Source organism: Homo sapiens, chromosome 7 (assembly GCF_000001405.40).
Source record: "Homo sapiens chromosome 7, GRCh38.p14 Primary Assembly".
Taxonomy (NCBI): Eukaryota; Metazoa; Chordata; class Mammalia; order Primates; family Hominidae; genus Homo; species Homo sapiens.
The window spans coordinates 38,295,651-38,316,158 of NC_000007.14; the positions used below are offsets into that span (position 1 = coordinate 38,295,651).

General features: G+C 42.8%; 3 pseudogenes and 1 further gene, besides 4 other annotated features; 1 reads left to right on the plus strand and 3 right to left on the minus strand.

The window, feature by feature from the left end:
• Positions 1–20,508, minus strand: part of TRG (T cell receptor gamma locus) — a 128,032-nt gene that overhangs the window by 55,627 nt on the left and 51,897 nt on the right.
• Positions 113–583, minus strand: TRGVB (T cell receptor gamma variable B (pseudogene); annotated as a pseudogene). The gene is given in 2 exon segments: positions 113–429; positions 541–583. Coding segments are annotated over 2 exon segments (360 nt in total).
• Positions 419–429: a sequence feature (TRGVB leader sequence).
• Positions 541–583: a sequence feature (TRGVB leader sequence).
• Positions 4,160–4,479: a sequence feature (TRGV10 leader sequence).
• On the minus strand, positions 4,160–4,630 carry TRGV10 (T cell receptor gamma variable 10 (non-functional); annotated as a pseudogene). Its single transcript is given in 2 exon segments — positions 4,160–4,479; positions 4,591–4,630. Coding segments are annotated over 2 exon segments (360 nt in total).
• Positions 4,591–4,630: a sequence feature (TRGV10 leader sequence).
• LOC103689914 (coiled-coil-helix-coiled-coil-helix domain containing 10 pseudogene) lies at positions 15,658–16,328 on the plus strand (annotated as a pseudogene).

The following is a 20,508-nucleotide window of genomic DNA, read 5'->3' on the forward strand; positions in this document are numbered from 1 at the left end:
GAGGGTGGGAGCCCAGCTAGGAGTCCATAGAGTTTGCTCCCATGGGAAGGATGTGGTTGGGCAGAGACCCAACAGAGGTTGTTGTGTGGGACAGTGTGGCACTGATGCTGTGGGTCCTAAGCAGTGCAGTAGTAAATGGCCTCATCTTCCTTTCCTATGAAGTTTATGGTAAAGACTGAAGTAGACATTTGAAAATTTGTTCTTGCCTCAAGTTTCTTGTTTTTCTCACCTAAGCAAACTCGAACTGGGGCTTGTTATTGAAGTGATATTTGTCAGATGGCTCATAATTTAGATTCAGTTTCTGCTGGTACCAGTGTATAACTATATTTACAAAGTCTTCAGTGGACACCACACAAGATACCTAGACACTTTTATCTGTTGCTCTGTTGACAAAAATGTAGTTGACATTTTTTATTGCTTTAAATTTAACTTACCAAGTTCAACTGCAAACAAAAAAGAGAAATCCCCATGAACCTGGGACATAGAAAGAGGAAATGATAATGAAACACTTTCATCTGGCCAGGTGTGGTGGCTCATGACTGTAATCACAGTACTTTGGGAGGCCAAGGAGGGCAGATCACATGAGGCCAGGAGATCGAGACCAGCCTGACCAACATGGCAAAACCCTGCCTCTACTAAAAATAAAAAAATAAGCTAGGCACAGTGGCGCATGCCTGTAATCTTAGCTACTTTGGAGGCTGAAGCACAAGAGAGAATTGCTTGAACCCAGGAGGCAGAGGTTGAAGTGAGCTGAGATCACACCACTGCACTCCAGCCTGGGTGAAAGAACGAGACTGTCTTAAAATAAAAGAAAAAAAGAATCACTTTCATCTCTCATCTATGTTGAAATAATTGAGGAGCAACTCACCGCTGCAGAGGGAGAAAAATATGAATATTCTCAGCAGGGACATCCTGCTGTCTGCTGAGCCATATCCCCAGGAGAAGGACCCTGGTTGCTGGCTGGCCCCAGTCAGTGGGGAGACAGCATGGCATGACTTGGTGAGAGAGAAAAATGTGGTGGGTCAGGTGCCCTCTGGGGACTTCATGGCCTACTGAAGAGCTGAGCAGTTCCCAGGAGCATTACACTGACCACTGACGGGGTGTAGGGTGCATTACCTGACAAGAATGTGTCTGTGGAAAGGGATGGGAGCAGCTCTGGAGTTGAACTAATTCTGCTTCAAACTTAGCTGTTCTCTCCTTGATTTTCAGACTGTACAATATTTTTCCAGATATATAAGCATATAACTTTCTTTACCTCACGTAAAAATTGATCCCTCTGTTAATGTTTTGGGGATGCAGGACTCAGGAGTATAAAACATGGACAGTATTTTACAATTTTAAAAAAGGCAAACTGAAATTTTACACTAGCATTATTCATACCTCATTTAAAAAGCTATAGTCATTTCTGTTTGAAATACAGTAAAGTATTTGGTTTATAATTAATTGGGATGTCACAATGCAGATTATAACTCAGAGAAATCCAATTTCACTTATAAAGAGGGTGCACCTCAAGAGGAAACTTGATTGAAATTGCTGGAGGGACCGACAGGGCAGTCTGTGGGAACTCACCTTGGACTTCAGAACTATCTCATGAACACTATGTCACAGAGAGGGGTGTTTTTAAATAAAGTTCATTTTTATGTGTAATCATAAGCCTTTAAAATTAACGTTATATCAAACATCTATTGTAGACTTGCTAACATTGTTCTAAACGTTTTCTTCCATTACTTCCTTCACACTTCTCACCAGCGTTGAGAGGCAGTGGTATTATTATCTCTCTCTGATAGACAAGAACAGTGTGGCACGCATGACGTCCCAGATCACAAAGTTGGTAAACATGGGAGCTTGGATAACTACCCAATCCTCACTGAAGAAAACCTGACCAAATGTTGCAAAATGATGAAAATATTTTGAGAAGACTCTAGTAGAACATTAATTAGTTAATTAAAATAAAGAAAATAAGAGCAATCAGAATTTACTTTTAAGCATGTTCTCTACACATTTGTAGATAGTAATATATTTGTTTGGATCATTACACAGGATCACAGGATTAAATTTTTTTTTTCTTTTAGACAGAGTCTTGCTCTGTCACCCAGACTGGAGTACAGTGGCACGATCTCGGCTCACAGCAACCTCCACTTCCCGGATTCAAGCAATTCTCCTGCCTCAGCCTCCTGAGTAGCTGGGACCACAGGCGTGCACCACCACACCCGGCTAATTTTTGTATTTTTAGTAGAAACGTGTTTTACTATATTGGCCAGGCTGGTTTCAAACTCCTTACCTCGTGATCCGCCCACCCTGGCCTCCCAAAGTGCTGGGATTTCAGGCGTGAACCACTGCACCCAGCCATGATTAAACGTTTTTTAATGGGTTTTACATTTACAGTTTTATATTCTGATCTTTTAATTTTATATTTAAAAATATATCAGGTCCTTCAAAAGCTCATCTGAATATTACTATTAATGACCTATGACAATATGCACCCTTCTAGACTACTTACCCTATCTAACATCAGCTGAGTTATTTGAAATCTTTAGGTCTCAGTTCTACATCTATAAGTGCCTAAATGGCTTCCAGAGACTTAAGAAATTTACATGATCACATAATAATGATAATGAACATGAAGTATAGATAACAGTACCTGTCACGTACCTAGATATGGAAAACCCAAATTTCTTATGTTTTTATATTGAAAAGTCAATCGGTGGCCGGGTGCAGTGGCTCACGCCTGTAATCCCAGCACTTTGGGAGGCCAAGGCTGGCGGATCACGAAGTCAAGAGATCGAGACAATCCTGGCTAACACAGTGAAACCCCGTCTCTACTAAAAATACAAAAAATTAGCTGGGCGTGGTGGCGGGCGCCAGTAGTCCCAGCTACTCGGGAGGCTGAGGCAGGAGAATGGGGTCAACCCGGGAGGCGGAGCTTGCAGTGAGTGGAGATGGCGCCACTGCACTCCAGCCTGGGCGACAGAGCGAGACTCAGTCTCAAAAAAAAAAAAAAAGAAAGAAAAGTCATTTGGTACTTTATTGGCATTTTACTTGTTCTCTGAATACACCTAATCACTGGAACCCTGGGCACAAGTTTCAGCACACGGTAGTAATGTGTGTCAGTTACTGTTCCATGATGGTCAGTTCTGTCTCCTCCATGGGGACAGGAACAATGTGTCTTTTCTTTTATACTCCTGTGATTCAGAAGCAGTTTAGTGTCATATTCAAGAGGAACCAGATTACCTGGGTCCCTCCCTAGGCTGTCCTGCCACCTATCAGCTCTGTGATTTGGACAAGTGCATGAACTAATACTCCACTTATTTCAGGAGTTAGATATGTTTGATGAGAACAACAGAGCAGACACTATAGGTAGTGTGGGTTAAAGGAGCTAATATATGCAAAGAATTGAGAACACTGTAGAGAACTTACACACACACACACACACACACACACACACACACGATACAATTCTCTCTTCCTTTACAGGTAAGACCAAAGGTTATTCCAACATGAAGGGTCTCATCCAATGGCCCCTGGGATGACTTGGAGCTCTATTCTGACGATCTCATGCAGGCAAATTCTCCTCCCTACCCCTCCCAGAAAAAAGGGCACTTACTCCTTCCCGAATTTATCCCAGATATCCTAGCATTTACTTAGAGAATTGCAATCCTTAAACTGTTCGGTGTGGTCTCATAGACCAGCTCAAAGACATGACTTGTCTGGCAGATCATGCAACCTCAGTTCTCTAAGCTTTCATTTCTTTCATTGTAAACTGGGCCAGTGATAGTTATATTGCAGGGGGGTTGTCTTGACTGTACGTAATAAGGATCCCTGTCTCAACTGCACCTTGCTACTTACTGGAAGTCTCTAGGTGGTGATATGATGGACAGTGGCACGACCTATGTTCTCTCAGTCCCCAGACAAGTCTTTAATGCATTAAGAAACAGTGTCAAATAAAGATTCTGGAGCACAAGTCCTGGGATCAGGTGGGAACGAAGGTATAACCCATAACAGCTTCCTGGAAAGCCCCGGAAGAGCCTCAGAGAAGGCGAGCCTGAGTCTGGGAGCCCAGCTGGGGACTGGCTGTGGTTGCCCCTGTTGGGAAGGATGTGGTGGGCACAGACCCTGGGAGGGGATTTTGTGCATGTTGTTTCAACAGTTCTAGTATGGTGTAATCCCACGCAGCACAGTAGTAAACGGCCATGTCTTCTTTCTCTACGGACTTGATGGTAAGGATTGAAGTGAGAGTTTGAGAATTCTTTCTTGCCTCCACTTTGTTGCTTGTCTTACCCATGCTGCGTCGAGCTGCGGATTTTGTTGAGACAATATAGATCAGGTGCTCCAAAGCCTGATTTGGTTTCTGCCGGTACCAGTGAATGACATCTGTTTCAAACCTTGTGCTCGATATCTTGCAAGGTATGTCAATACTTTTCTTGACTTCCGTGGAAATGGATAGCTGGAACTGCTCCACTTTTGATAATCCAAGTCCAACTGTAAGTAAAAGAGGAGAATTTCCAATGAACATCTGACAGTAGAAGAGGGAAACATTGAAGAATGATTTTGGTCACGCAGCTAGACTGAAATGTTCGGACAGCAACTCAGGAGCCCAGGAGGAGAAGGCAAATGCTTCCAGCAGTGACATCCTGTCTTCGGGGCGGTGTACCCAAGGAGAAGGCAGGAAAGTGCGGACCTGGTGGCTAGACGACTCTGGTCAGGTTCTGGAGGGTGTGGCCTGAACTGGGGAGAGAAAGAAAATGGTTTTTTGGGCCCTTCAGTGCCTCCTGCAGGCTCAGCACTGAGCCCCCCTCCTGCTCACCCTGCTTATCTCAAATCAGGCTAGCAATCTCGATGGTGTTCTCTGCACGAATGTGAGGGGGCCATGGGGGTTGCTTAATTTCTGTGGAAATGAGAAGGATTTCTAATTGCCTAGGAGTTGTTCGTGAACACTTTTCCTCAGCATAATATTTTAAATTGTTGCATATTTAATAAACATTAACTTTTATAATAGCAAATACTTATTGAGCATTTTCTATTTGCTAGCCTTTTTTTTTTCTAAACGTTTTTCACCTTCTAATCTTCACAATGATCACTTAATATGGGTACTTGGAATTTTCATTTTTTGGATGAGGGAATGAGGCACAGAGTCATCAACTCCACAGAAGTCACACAGCTGATAGGTAGAACATGCTGGTAACAGTGCTCATTGAAGAAACTCAGAGCAATGGGGAAAGATAACAATAAAAACATCTACGGTCATATCACAAAGGCCCACTACTATTCACATTATCATATGCTCACTTGTAGATATTTTCATTTTGGATACATGAATATTAATATGATTTTATGGACTATAGATATATTTACATGTATAGTGTTCTGTATTCTTTCAGTTCAGCTTATATTCTGAGCAACTTCCCATGTCATTGGAGAATTTTTTCTTTACATATATTTTTTGAGACAAGATCTTGTTCTGTCACCCACCCTGGAGTGCAGTGGCACACTCATGGCTCACTGCAGCCTCAACCTCTGAGGCTCAAGCAATCCTTTCATCCCCAGCCTCTTGAGTAACTGGGAATACAGGTGCACACCACCATGCCTGGCTAATTTTGTATTTTTTGTAGAGACGGGGTTTCACCATGTTGCCCAGGCTGGCCTCCGACTTCTGAGCTCAAGCAGTCCACCCACCTCAGCTTCCCAAAGTGCTGGGATTACAGGCGTGAGCCACTGCACCCAACCAAAACATGTTTTAATGTCTAACTGTTCATCTTTATCACATAGGGGCTGTCTGACCCTGTGCAAACTTCTTAATCTCTTTGTGCCTCAAATCTCTCATCTGAAAATGGATACAATAATAACACTGGTATTAAAATTTTATGCAGACTAAATAGCTAAGTACACCTAGTATAGTTCCTGACATATAGTAAATTTTCAGTAATTATTAGATATTATTACTACTACTCCTACCACTACATTTTTATCTCCCCTCCACTTCTTATTTTTATTTTTGTAGAGATAGGGTCTTGCTATGTTGGCCAGGCTGGAGTGCAGTGGTGTGATCATGGCTCACTGCAGCCTTGAATTCCTGGGCTCAAGCCACCCTCCTGCCTCAGCCTCTTGAGTAGCTAGGACAACAGGCATGCACCACAATGCACAGTTTCCCTCCACTTCCAGCCATTTAATTTCCCCAACAGCTTTCATTGTTAAAATGCTTTGCTGACTGTTTTGAAGTAGTAACCTGGCTAAATCAAGGGAAAACAGTCAAATATTGTTAGTACTTCATTTTTCCACATTACAGAACTTCTCTTTTCCTCCATTCAGCTCCATTTTATGATTTCCATGTGGCTTTCTTGGAGATCTTCTGGTGCCTCAGGGCTCACTTAACCTTGGACAGTGGTTGTCCCTGTCACTTTTGTCCAGCTCTGGCTCGTGTTTTGTGGGACAGGTATGAACTCCGACAGCTTGGGTCCTCCCTAGGAGACAGGAGAGGAAGCAGCTGGCTCGGATGGCTCCTCCTAAAGCAGTTGCCCTGTTCACCCTCTTTTCTGAAAAATACTGTTTTTGAGACACTCAATGCTGGGGAGTCGAATATTGAGGAGGTGGAGGTCAGCAGACCAATGGGCCTGTGGCTACAACTAGAAGGACTCACTCTTCCCCTGCACAGGATGTGTCCTGGGAATGGGAAGTAAGAGAGAGCGCCCATGCTGCAGATTGAGCCAGTCTGCAGGGCCCGGCTTAGAGCCCTGGTGCTGCCACAGCCAGGGCAGCCACGGCCACGCTGGAACTCACTAGGCACCCTGCACACTCCATCCCTGCCAGACAGTTCCTTCCAGACCCTGCAACTCCAGCAGCCGTGTGTGTGTGTGTGTGTGTGTGTGTGTGTGTGTGTGTGTGTGTGTGTAATGGAGGGGTTGTGAGGAGTGTATCTAATTGCTGGAGTCCATAGTCTACCTGACTACCTGGAATAAAGGCTGAGAAAATGCATCAGGCATTCTTCTTTTCTGTAGAGGGAGATGAATTCATTCACTCACCAAAACCCATGAGGTGAAAATTCCCTAAACACAGGAAAGCGTTACTAGGAGTCAAGAAGAAAGACAAATGGACACTTTTAAGACACTTTTTTGTTTGGTTTTTTATTTGTTTTTTCAAACAAATAAAGTGAACAAAGGCAGAATTTATATTATTGAAAACATTGTCAGAAAACAGATACTCACTTTTCATAATATTAATAGTTTGCATTAATTGAAGGCATTGTCTGTAGCAGGCTCTGTGCTGCAAGCAACTTTTTCCATTATCTATTAAGTGAGGATTCTTATTATTGTTCCCATTTTCTAGGTGGGAAAATAGAAGCTTTGACCTAGCAGGCATTTTATTCAAGATCAAGGCATTTTTACAGAGCAGGCATTTTGTTCAAGTATGCACTTTGTTCTGGCAGGAGTTAAGTGACAGGACAGTAATTTGCGACAGAGGGTCTAACTCTAGAACTTGTGTGCTTAATGAAACCTTTTATTTCTCCCAAATATATCAATTATACAGATATATGTATACACAAACATATATATGTACATAATGTACTTGTGCATGAATAAATTTATTCTTCTTTTCTGTTGCAGATATAAATATTTCTGATTGTGCCATTTTGATTACCCAACTAGGAAAAGAGACAGAGAGACAGAGAATAACATAGGCTTTTGAATGAACACCTGAAATATCAAAAGAGCACATTAAATTCTTTTTTAAAAGTTTCTCACATAATTTGAGCAAAGAGAAAAGCAATCTCAATAGCTCAGAGGAAATTGCAGAAGATTGCTGGTAACCAGGCATCTTGTCTACCCAGTCTTTGCCTCCGAGGACAGGCCAGAGGCTTCAGGTCAGTGTCAGGTGTGTGTGATTGTTGGTGTTAGGAAAGGAGGTAAATGGTTCAAGCAGGGACTGCCATTCCATGCCACTCATGAGGTTTCAGATATGTCTGGATAACATTAGCCAGGCTGCAACAACAACAAACCCACCAGTTCATTTATAAATAATTAGATAGATAAACAACAGGAAGATAGAGATAGAGACAGAGAAGAGATGGAGGTGAAGGTGGAGGTGGAGGCGGAGGTAGAGATAAGTGTATCTAGTGAAGATTGCAATATCAGCAATGTCCCTGAGGGAAAGTTTTCCTTAATTAATTATCCAAACCATTTCACACAAGGGAATGTAGACAAAAGTGAAATTAAATAACAAATACTGGTAATGAGTACTTACTTGAGACCTTTCTCTACTCTAGGTTTGATGCTCAGCATTTTGTATTTATTATCTCAACTAATCCTCACAAGCGTCACTGGAGTGGGCACTACCATCTCTGCAACACAGAGAGTCAAAGCTGTGTCTTCACAGTCAAAGCTGAAGATGCTCAGGTTGACTCAAGCCCTCTGACTCCAGAGTCTGTGCTCCTTGACTTCACACCATGGTGTCACTTGTGCGAATGACTTTTTTTCATGACTTTTTTTTCATCAGTTTTTCTCAAGGCTCTGGAATGTAATGTCTGGTGGCTGAATTCAAACATTATTTTCATTAGTTCTTTAATGATTATTTTTGTGTAAACTAATTTTGTGTTTCCATGGGGTTAGGAAGCTTCATAGATTCAATTTATTTAAATTGAATCTATCTTGTCTGTGTGGTTCTATCACGAATTACCTCCTAAACAGCACCCCCACTCTGCAGAGCACAAATAAGGCTTCCTTTTACTAATTAACAAAAGGCATGCCCTTAGGCAGAATAATTAGACAAAGACACCTTTCTCCAGCATGTCACAGCCCAACTCCAGAGTGTGCAGGGGGTGGGTGTAAGATGGGATTTTTGGCTCCCACGGGCGCCCCTCACCCAAGTGACTTTGAGCAGGGCACAGCCACCCAGCTAACTTTGAGCAGGGCACAGTGGTGGAACACGCACACGCTATCATTCAACGCAGAGGGGAAATGTACACAACCTATACCTGTCGTCTCTTGCTCGTTCTGATATTGTGGGGAGGCACTAAACTTACCAACTTAAAATAGTTTCCACCAGGTTAGAGCAGCCTCTTTCAGACGGGCTCGGTCTCTTTGTGGTGCCTGCTTAGGCTTTTCTGCGTTTCTCTGTCTTCCTCCTTCTCATCCCCAGGATGACATCTCTACACAGGGGCAGGGTGTGTGAGTGAGTTCTCAGAGGTGTCTTCCTGCTACTCTCTGCATCCTCGACAACTTCCAGCATTTTGCCCTGCTGATCTTGGGGATTTCACTCTTCCTCTGAACCGGCTGATGTAAAAAACCAGACTGAACTTGCCACTATTGACTCCACACCATGCCCTTGGGGTGCAAAGTTCCCTTCCTGCAGCTTCTCATCCAAATCCCAGGTGCTGTGCCCTCTGGCCCCCTCAGTAGCTTTGTATCCTCTCAGAGACCCTGAGAAGCATCTGGGCCTTCTACATGGACAGCCTGTGTGGAAAGGGGTGCTGGTTTGGGCTCACCTTTGCAAATGCCTTCCACTGTTGATGAAGTTCTACCAGGGCTGTATTAGGGAAGCTTGACAGGAGACAGACACTCGCAGATTCTCCTTCTTCTATCTTGAGTTTCTGTTGGGCTTTCTATCCCCTCTGGCATAAGACCCTCAGACGCAAGGGAACCGGGAAGTACCTCCACATAATGCTCTACTCCTCTCTCTCCCCCCACCGGCTCGCACTTCCCAGCCAGAAGGAACAGCGCTTCTCCCTGGGAAGGTATTAACGTCACCGATATCATATGCTGAGTCTTCATATCTAGCAGCTGTAATAAAATTCTGTGTTGTTACTTTGCCAGTGTGGCCTTTTGACCTATGAATGAGAGAATCACAACTATAGAAAACTCTTTAAAAAAAAATTGAACCTGATTTTCAAGCCCAACATCTCACAATTAATTCAAAAAGTGAGTTTGTGGCAGGCTGTGGTGGCTTACGCCTGTAATCCCAGCACTTTAGGAGGCTGAGGCGGGCGTATCACGAGGTCAGGAGATTGAGACCATCCTGGCTAACACGGTGAAACCCCGTCTCTGCTAAAAACAAACAAACAAAAAAAAATTAGCCAGGCGTGGTGGCGGGCGCCTGTGCGCTGCACTCTAGCCTGGGCGACAGAGTAACACTTCATCTCAAAAAAAAAAAAAAAAAAAAAAAAAAGTGAGTTTGTTCTGGGCAACTACCATCTCTTTCTATGGGTAGTAAATATCATGGATTAGCTACAATAAAGAAAGGACAAAAGGTGACATGATTTATTTTAGAGAATAAAAATATGTTGGCCACATTTCCAAAACATGATCCTCATTACACATTTTGATCATTTACTTAAGTCTGGGCTGTGAGGTTTTGATCCCTCTCCAGGTATCCCACCCATGATATTATCTGCTAAAGCAAGTTCACAAGAACAGAGAGGGTTTTCTGTTTTCTTAGCCTTTTCCCCTCCAGTGAGAAGAAGGGTCCTAAGGCAGAATGCCGGTGGGGAGCAGGGTGGGGGTGGGGTGGGGGGTGGGAACTCTTCCAAATGTGTGTTCAGCATGACCCTTTAGCCATGGCTTCTTGAGTCACTGCCCATTCTGTCTTGAGTCACTGCCCATTCTGTCTTGACCTAGCTCTGCAGGACTAGGCAGTAAGTCCGGGCCAGCGCATAATTACCCACAAATGCCACAGTTCATTCCTATAAAGTTTTGTTTGTTTGTTTTTGAGACAGAGTCTTGCTCTGTATCCCAGGCTGGAGTGCAGTGCTGCAATCTTGTCTCTCTGCAACCTCTGCCTCCTGGGCTCAAGTGATCCTCCCACCTCAGCTTCCGGAATAGCTGAGACTACAGGCAAGCTCCACCACACCTGGTTAATTTTTGTGTTTTTGTAGAGATGGAGTTTCACCATGTTGCCCAGGCTGGTCTTGAATTCCTGAGGACAAATGATCTGCCTGCCTCAGCCTCTGAAAGCGCTGGAATTATAAGCCTGAGCCACTGCCCCTGGCCCTATTTCCATTAAGTTAATAAACCCAAAGGGTATTCAAAGTGGCCCAATAGTGCACTTGAAAGAGCATGAACTATTTGTTTGGACAGATAACTGCCCCTGTCTAAACATCAGTTATTTCTTTCATGAATAAGTTTATTTACCAGGTTCTTATGACAATCACCTGAAATTCTGAATATGTAGAACATCTATCCCATTTTCTGGCAGCCAGTGGGAACTGAGTGGATATGAATTCCATCTTGTTCCTTGCTGGCATCTTCACCCTGAGCAATTCACCATGACTAGAAGTTTCTAAGAAATGATATAATGGACCTTGCTTTCTCTCTGAAATAATCATGCAGTTTCAACAAACATAGTCTCTAAATAGGAACCTAAGTCAATAGGAAATGATGTCAAATCAGACACTTGGGGGTATAGGTACTGGCATTTGTGGGGTGAAATTGATAGTCATCAGACTCCCTTTCTGGTTTCCTGTGATCACAGAGGCATCATCTGAGGAACACAGGAAGTGCTGCAAGCTGAGGCTGAGGCCTAGCTGGGGCAGAGGGCTGGACGAGGCTCTTCCACATTGGGAAGGATGTGGTCGCAGACATGATAATGGGGCAAGTGCCCATTACCTCAGCTCCAATGTCATGCTAGTTTCCTGGGGGCCATTATATTGGGTCATCATGTCTTTCTATTTTTCTAGGAATTTTATATTAAGAACTAAAGGGAAGTAGACAGAATTTTATATAGAGAATTTATATACAGAATTTTATATATGGTTGCAGCTCTTTGCCTGTAATTGACCTGGAACAGGGTTTTTTTCCAAGTAAATATCAAATCCTCAAAAGCCTGATTTGGTGTTGGTCAGTACCTGAGTGTGTATGAAAAGTTCTATCTAAATACCCTACAGTGAAAATATATGCTTCATTTCTGCTAATGAAATAAAGATTTTTACTTGCTTCAATTGTTTTTACCCAATTTCAATTAGAAACAAAATAGCATTTTCAATGAAACCAAAGTTATCAAGAAATGAGACATTCATTTTCAAAAAAATCCCTCAGCCAATCTGAGAAGTAGGAGAACAAGTTCACATTCCCAGAGTGAAGAACAGGTGCATATCTGTAGCTGTGACGTCCCGTCTGCTCAGGCTGAGTGCCTGAGACAAGGCTGAGGAAATAGGGAACCTGGAGCAGGAGAAGCTGCACCAGGATGAGGAAGGGGAACCTCAAAGAGTGTTCACAGAGAAAATGGGTGTCCTTAGGCCCTGCGCCCAGATCAGTCATTTCTGAGGTTGCTGATTGGTCAGGATCACATGGGAACTTTACCCATAGCTGTATGACACCATGATAATCAGTCCATTTGCCAGGGTAAAAGTTATTCACCTTGTTATCTTGCTAACTCTTAGAAACTTTTAGAAAGATTCTTTTTCATTATTATTATTTCATCATGATTATCTAACTGATTTCAGGGGAGAGTTGGTCCAAGTTACCACGTGGGCTATGACCTGAAGCCACCTGTCCACTTTTCCAGGTGAGAGTCCTCACTGGTTTATCTGGCCACCAAACGCTCACGGCACAGACCCAACACTTCCATGACCCACACACAGGGCTCTGCTCTGGACCCATGGTGGATGTAGGACCTGAGAGTCCTATTTGGTGTGGAAGTAGAAGAGCTACCTCATCACCTCCTCACTGGGAGAGGAGGGGGTTTCCAGGGAAATCCCAACAGTGCTTTTCAGAGAAAGTCTTTGCAAAATTAGAGTCCCCAGGAAAGCTCTTACTGTAATTAGCCTGGATATAGCTCATGAGCCAAAGGTTGGAGTCATCAGTTTTGTCTACCTCTTAGCAAGTCTTTGAGAAATATGGCCAACTACCCCAGGGTTTCTCAGCCTCTGCATTATTGACATTTTGGGCTGGATAATTCTTTGTTGTGGGGCTGTCCTGTGCATTGTAGGATGTTTAGTAACACTTCTGGCCTCTACTCACTAGATACCAGTAGCATTCTCACTCTGTTTGTGACAGTAAAAAATGTCTCAGACATTACCAATGTCTGCTGGAGAGGGGCTTGCCCTCCACTGTGAATCTCTGGTTTTGTCCCCTTCTTTTGTATTACTACCATTCTCCTGAGCTTAGAGTGTCAGCGGAGATTGGGACAAAATGAAACTCCCACTGAATATCCAGTATGTAAAAATTCTCATCATTTAATGAGCAATATCACTTAATCTTCTTTGCCACCATCTATTTTCTTGAGGAATTGGAGTGGATGTTACAACAAATACCTCTATCACTCAGCATATAGCACTGCAGCTTTGCTAGACCACTTGTTACCTGCTACTTTCATATAACACATGCTAGATTTCGTTTTTGTTAAGTCAAAGTCATAAGTTGTAGGGATTGTTAAAGCCCCTTATTTCATCAAGAAGGATGCCTTCCCTATAGTGGGAGCTCCATAAATATTGACTATCCTTAGGAGATAATTCATATGAGAAATCATATTAGAATGAATGAAAATGTGTTTAAAAAAAACTATAACTCTTTACTTTGTTATGGTGTCTACAATTTCCAAAACTCTTTTACAAACATTGGCTTATTTAATCCAAACAATATTTTGAGGCAGGAAGGGATTCCCCATGGGGAAGAGGGGGTAATGTAAGGCCTCTCAGCTAGTAAATGGTAGAGCTGGAACTAAAACCTATTTCTTCAATGCCAAGCAAATCCACGTAGTGTGCTATACAGGCGAGCATGCAATCATTCAGTCCTGCTTTTAATTCCAGTTCAGCCTGCTGTTAGCTTGACTTGTTGCTATCTGACACCCAGTGCCCTCAACTATGAAAATGAAATTGAAATCCCTATCTACCAGCATTGGCTTAGATAGGTGCATAATACGCCTGGAATAAAGTGGGAGCTCAGTGGGTTCCATATCTTTCACCTCCTTCCTCTCTACTCTGCCTCCTTGTTGAAGCAGGATGAGCACAGAGCTACTGTTAGGAGGCCTAGTTTGGCTTTGGGGTATGCTCTTTTTCTTAGGATTTTAGTTCCTTGACTTGAATGACAATAAATAACATCTCTAGACAGAGGAATTCCCCATCATGAGGTGTGGTGGGGCTCTCAGCATTGCCCTTTAAGTGGAGGCTTTTTGTGGTGGGGCCTCACGACCAGTCGTCGGGCTGCTGCACCCATCCTCTTCCCCCAGAGAGGTTCCCCACATCCACGCCCCACCTCGCAGCAAACATGGGCAAGGAGGAAACTGGCTGCAAATGTCCCATTTATCCTGTACCTGAGGAGGTGGTAAAAATTAATTCACTGAAGAGTTTGATTTAAAAAAATGAAGTTCTATAAATAACAACATACCTATAAATTTGGGATGCTTTTTCCTAAAATATGTCCTTTCGATATTAGAAAATGTGATGATGACAAAAGCTAGTTTTTACTGTTGCAACCAGACTGTGACAAAAATGAACTTTCTCCTTTTCTTGTTTGGCAAGACTTTTACTTGAATCTTCTGGCTCTATGAAGCCTTCCCAGTGATCCATTAACTTCTTCCTTCTCAGAACATTTATCTATGTCATGGAATCAAGGACTCATTAGTTTCATTTTTTCCTTTGAAGAACAAGTGAATGGTATAGTGGTATTCCTATTGATATTCACTCAAAAGAGTCGGGCTGTTTGATTGCTGCATTATGTTTCATCCAGCAAACTGGAAGTCTTCCTGCTTCAACCTTTTTCTTTAAAGGACCAAATTCCCAACTTGGGTACGCTTACAGGAACACATTCCACATCCTTGTGAATATACAGAGAAGTCTGAGCCCCTCTTCCCTCCCTTGTCATTTATTCCAGTTCTTGCTGGGTGAGTGTGGTGTGGTGGGAAGAGAGTAAGTCTTATGGACCGTCACACTTGCTCTACATCCCTTCTCTGCTACTAGTGATGCCTGCGTGATCTTGGAGGCTACAGAGTCTCTCTGAATCTCTGGTTCCTCCTCTGAGAAAGGAGATGACAATATTTAAGTGAGAAAAGCATGTAAAGTTCCCAGCCTGACACTGACTTGGCCCTCTGCCCATCCAGGCCCTCCCTGGGCAGCCAGGCAGGAAGCAGAACATGATGTGGCCATCTCAGGCCAGGCTGCAGTTGGGTCTCAGCCTTTCCACCCTTTCCCATCCACCTTTGGATAACATTTCTGTGCTCCCCAGCGGACTGAGGGTAAGGGAGTGCAGCGGAAAGGTGATAATCAGGGGGAATATCTCTGTGTTCCATCTCGCTGCTTTTCTGTTGCTCAATAAACACAGTTTTGGTTACGCTTTTTTTTCTTGTTAAAAAAAGAAAAAAATCTTAGAACCCAGAAGTCAGAAAAACTTGATTGCATAAGAAAATTCTCTGTAGAGAATTCTCTGCAGATTGTCTGTAAGTAAACACCGTTAGCATCAATTTAACTAACTTCATGTGACCCTGGGGAAAGGAGCTTAAGGCCGCAAATGAAAAAAAAAAAACTCATAAAACGAATTATAAATTTTTTTATTTCCCCCTGAAATGTCTCTATTTAAAAGTTCGTGTTTGGTTTTGTTTTTCTCATCACTGTAGGAGATCAAGGCAATAGATTTTGTAGTCAGACAGACCTGGATTCAGATCCCAGCCTCGCTGCTTACTATCAAGTATCTTAATTTATCAAAGTCTCAAATCTGTACTTAGAAAATATCTATAAAGGGCATTTGTCCCCGCGACAGAACCGCTGCCGCCATCGCTGTCATTTAAGATCGCCCGGGTCCCTCCGCCGCCACCATGTCTCTGGGAAGCCGCAGCGCGGCGGTCCGACCACCCAGCCCCCTCCCGCCGCGCCCTCTGCCCACCTGCCCCCACACAGCCACCGCCTCCGGCAGCCGCCCCATCTCCGCCCCTTCCGGCCAGCCGAGCCTCATGGCTTAGATGGCGTCCATGGCCGCAGGGGTAGCCGTGGGCTCGGCTGTGGGACACGTCATGGGCAGCGCCCTGACCTGAGCCTTCAGATGGGGGAGCTCGGAGCCCGTCCAGCCTGCTGCCCAGCAGACCCCCACACGCGCTGCCCCCCAGCCCCTGCAGATGGGGTCCTGCGCCTACGAGATCCGGCAGTTCCTGGACTGTTCGACCACGCAGAGTGACCTGTCCCTGTGTGAAGGCTTCAGCGAGGCCCTGAAGCAGTGCAAGTACAACCATGGTCTGAGCTCCCTGCTCTGAAGAGGTTGGTGCAGACTGGGGGGCCAGCCCTGCACCCACCTCTACCCTTTGCCGACAGCTGGACCACAACACCAGATTGTACCAGATGGCTGGGATTGGAAGTGTGGAGGTTTCTCACCCCACGAATAACCCAAGACACAAACGTGCAAATAAAAGAGTTTATTAAAAAAAGAAAATATCTATAAAAATGAGATAATAATAATGATAGTATTTTGTTAGGCTCAAATGACATAAAGCATGCAGTATAAAGTGCCATGCACATAAGAAGTACTCAATAAACAATAGCTACTATTACTACACTCATAAGAATATTTATTACATTATTCATTTTCACATAGAACTGAGCTCTTTCAGAGAATAGTCTGTACATTTAATTCTGTGCATGTAAACTCACTGATTTTTCTGTTTTTCTGTGGCTAAGCAAAGAAAATAAGGAAAGTCAGAGAAATCTGCTGACCTATGGACTGCAAATTCAAATTCTGCCAATTTCAGAACACAAATATGGAGTTTTGATAATTACTCTGTAACTTTAGTTTATAAGTAAAATATAAAGAGAACGGGACTACAGTAAAGTATAGCACGTGATTCAATCTCTCTGAATCCCTTAGCACTTTGCTAATTTGCTAGTTAAAAGTTGACTTAAAAGTGACAAGAAATTAAATTAGGGATCTACAGAAGAGACACATCAATTATAGCAACAGGGGTGAGGGGATAAATTCTACTTGACATGAACGTGACAGGCATTTCTCTATCCTCAATCATCTAATGAGAGTTGAGATTGTTTCTCTATTTTAAACTTAGTTGTTGTAAAGAACACTACGAGCACAATTGGATTAATCATACTATCGATTCATGAAGCACTACAAGCATAAAGCACTATAATCATTTATCTAAATGTGTATCACTTTTATGTTTCTTATTTGAGTCTACTACATGTTGGTGATTTATTTAATGAGTCAACAAATACCTAAGACTCCTTCACTTAACTCAAGAACAAAAGCATTATTAATAATCTACATGCTCCTCCATATTAAGAAATCAACTAAAGAAGTACTAATTAATGATGATCTCTCAAGATTTGTCCAGTTTCCTGTTTTTTTACTCAAGGAACAGTCACACATCCTGTTCTGTTGGAGATGGGACCTTGGTGGTTTTGTGGAAAGTGAAACAAAACTAATAAAACCTTCTGGCTCCCTAGCTTGTCCTACTTATCTGAAGTCAAACATAATCCACTTATTGGGCCATCTGCAGGATTTCCTCCTTGGCTCATCCAAGTCCATTTTCCACATAACTCTGCCTTAAAAGTCTGACCGCCCTGGGCTGCATGGATGGTCTTCCCTATCCTGCAGGTGTTGTTTGGGGGTAGAAAATGGAAACATCAGCAGGCAGCTGGGAAATAGGAGCGTGGGGTCAGCGTTCCCTCCCTGAAAAGGGGCCTTAAGTTGGCTGCATCCTCCCCACATTGGCCAATATGCAGTGCCATTTGCCCCACAGCCAGAGCTGATGTCCAGGATCCAAGAGGTGTGGGTAGGAGTCGCCATTCTCTTCTATTTCAGTTAGCTCACTGAAAAAAGTTGTTTCTTTTTTCCCAAGACCTTTGATCTACAGGCTTGAAAAATCCTAGTGTTCCAGGAAGACATACAAGCCCAATAAGCTGCCTTGAGCATTCAAATCACTAACATTTTCTTTAGCTCAGCACAGTGATCAGTAGGAAACAGGAGAAAAGGTAAGATTTTGCTTTTTACAAGAAGCAAACGTTGTTAGAGAAGAGGAAAGAAAAAGTAGTCAAGCAGAGCCCCTTCCAGGTCCTTCTAACCAACACATTTTACATATTGTCTCTAGGTGCTCAATAATGTGCAGGGATATGTTTAATATTATAAAACAGGAATTCTTTTTTTAAGTCAATTTTAAAATAAAATTAAAAAGTAATGTGTTTTCTATTAGACCATTTCAAAAGTACAGAAATGACACAGATAAAAATACTCATGAGCGCAATGTCTGGAGATAAGCATTTCAAAGTCTGTGCCCTTTTTTTGTCTACCCCAGTCTGCCTCTTGTGAACCCCTTCACAGGACTGAAAGCAAAAAGCACCCGAGACAAAACAGTCAGCATGGATTTCCAGGTGGGTACAGCAACTTCTAGAATTGTGGTTTCTATAAGATGACTCCTGGGCAGTAGACATTACTTTTTCCATAGTACTTGTATGTGTGGGGAGTTCGGCAACAGATGATATGGTTTATGAAAATATTGCTTTCCAAGATTTCCTTAGATTTTATTCAGATTTTATATTAACTAGATAATATAATGTTGATTCTATTATTCAGAGTCATTGTAGCTCACCCACCTCAGGTAGAAAAGAAAAGAAGTCGAACCCAAATCATCAGAATATTCAGGGCATCCATCCATACAACGCGTTGACCCATTAGGTAAAATGAACCCATCAATAATAATGAAAGTATCAATCTCAATTCAACAGATATTCATTGAGCCCCTACTATATGCAGTACAGTATATTCTAATAAGATGCTGTCAGTGTTTCTGTGAATCCAAAACTTAAACCATTTAATTGGCAAATATTAACTTAGAGCTGGTTTGCCTCTGGCTAGTTTTCCTTTGGTGTGGCGAAAATGTTCCTGGTGAAGCTCACCTTAAGCAAAAGGAGAAGGGCAGGAGGAGTAAAGGACTATGAATTTCGACTTGTTTTTCCCCTATAATGGTCATCTGCACTATGCACAAGGCCACTGTCCTGTCCAGCTGTGTGTGAGTCAAAGGTCTTAGGGAACCATGACCAAAAGCTTAGAATTAAATTAATCTGGGATAACCTCTTGTAAGAGTTTCTTCATACTTAGCTATTCTCTCTATAAAATGTAATAGCCACACTATGATAGACGTAGCACTAAGCCCTGGATATATAAAGATGTGTATATGGGCCAGGCGTGTTGGCTCATGCCTGTAATCCCAGCACTTTGGGAGGCCGAGGTGGGGTGATCACGAGCTCAGGAGTTCGAGACCAGCCTGGCCAACATGGCGAAACCCCATCTCTACTAAAGATACAAAAAATTAGCCGGGCATGGTAGTGCGTGCCTGTAATCCCAGCTACTTGGAGGCTGAGGCAAGAGAATCGCTTGAACCTGGGAGGCAGAGGTTGCAGTGAGCCGAGATCGCGCCATTGCACTCCAGCTTGGGCAACAAGAGTGAAACTCCATCTCAAAAAAAAAAAAACCAGATGTGTGTATGTGTGTGTGTGTGTGTGTGTATGTTTTCTTGTATATATAGTCATACGCTGAATAATAATGTTTCAGTCAAAGATGGACAAATTATAATGAAACTGCCCTACACATGTGTAGCATTTTTTTTATATTCTATTTTTACTGTACCTTTTCTATGCTATGTTTAAATACACAAATATTTATCAGTGTTACAATCGCATATAGCATTCAGTACAGCAACATGCTATGCAGGTTTGCAGCTTAGGAGCAATAAGCTATACCATATATCCTAGGTATGTAGTAGGCTGTACCATGTAGGTGTGTGTTAAGGGCACTCTACAATATCTGCACAACAAGGACATTGCCAAAGGATGCATTTCTCAGGATGTTTTCCTGTCGTTAAGGGACACATGACTATATATGTGTGCTTGCTGTTATTTTTTTGTTGTATCTAGTTTTGTCTCTTGTCAGATAACGCTGGGCTGTCACAATATGCCAAGCACTAGGCCAAATCCTTGAAATGCATCATGTCAGGAGTTCTCACAGCCACCCATATGATAACCACAGGACCATTGCCTCACAGGTGAGGAAATGGGGCTAGAGAAGCTCAAGGCCTTGCCACACAGCTTATCCGTGGTAAGTAGAGCCCCATTTGGACCTATGTCCTTCTGACATGACAGGCCCAGGTCTTGACCACTTTGTACATTATATGTATACTCAGATAATTATTGAGCTGTTGAAAAATCAAAGTATCAGAGAAATTTGAGAAGATGAGACTAAGGATCATTCATCTCTGAACTCTTTCCCAGTGGAAATCTACTTTTCTCTATTTTATATTTGTAAGATCACATTTCAAGAAAGGGTTTCATGGCAAAAACATAAATTAAAACAACACCATCAACAATAATAAATTGCAAAGCCTGAGTTGAACTAGAAGTAACGAAAATTCATAAGAGACTTACAATCATGAGTTATATTCAAGTTGAGGACTGCCATTTTAGTGGTGAATGGCAGCCCAGTAGCAGAATGTGGTTCAACAGAAGCAACCTCGGGCCTTTGCAGAGCGTATGGGCCTTGTAATTTCTGCTGTGCATAATGCCTGGCTCAGAGTAGTCTATCAAAAGCTCATGGTTGG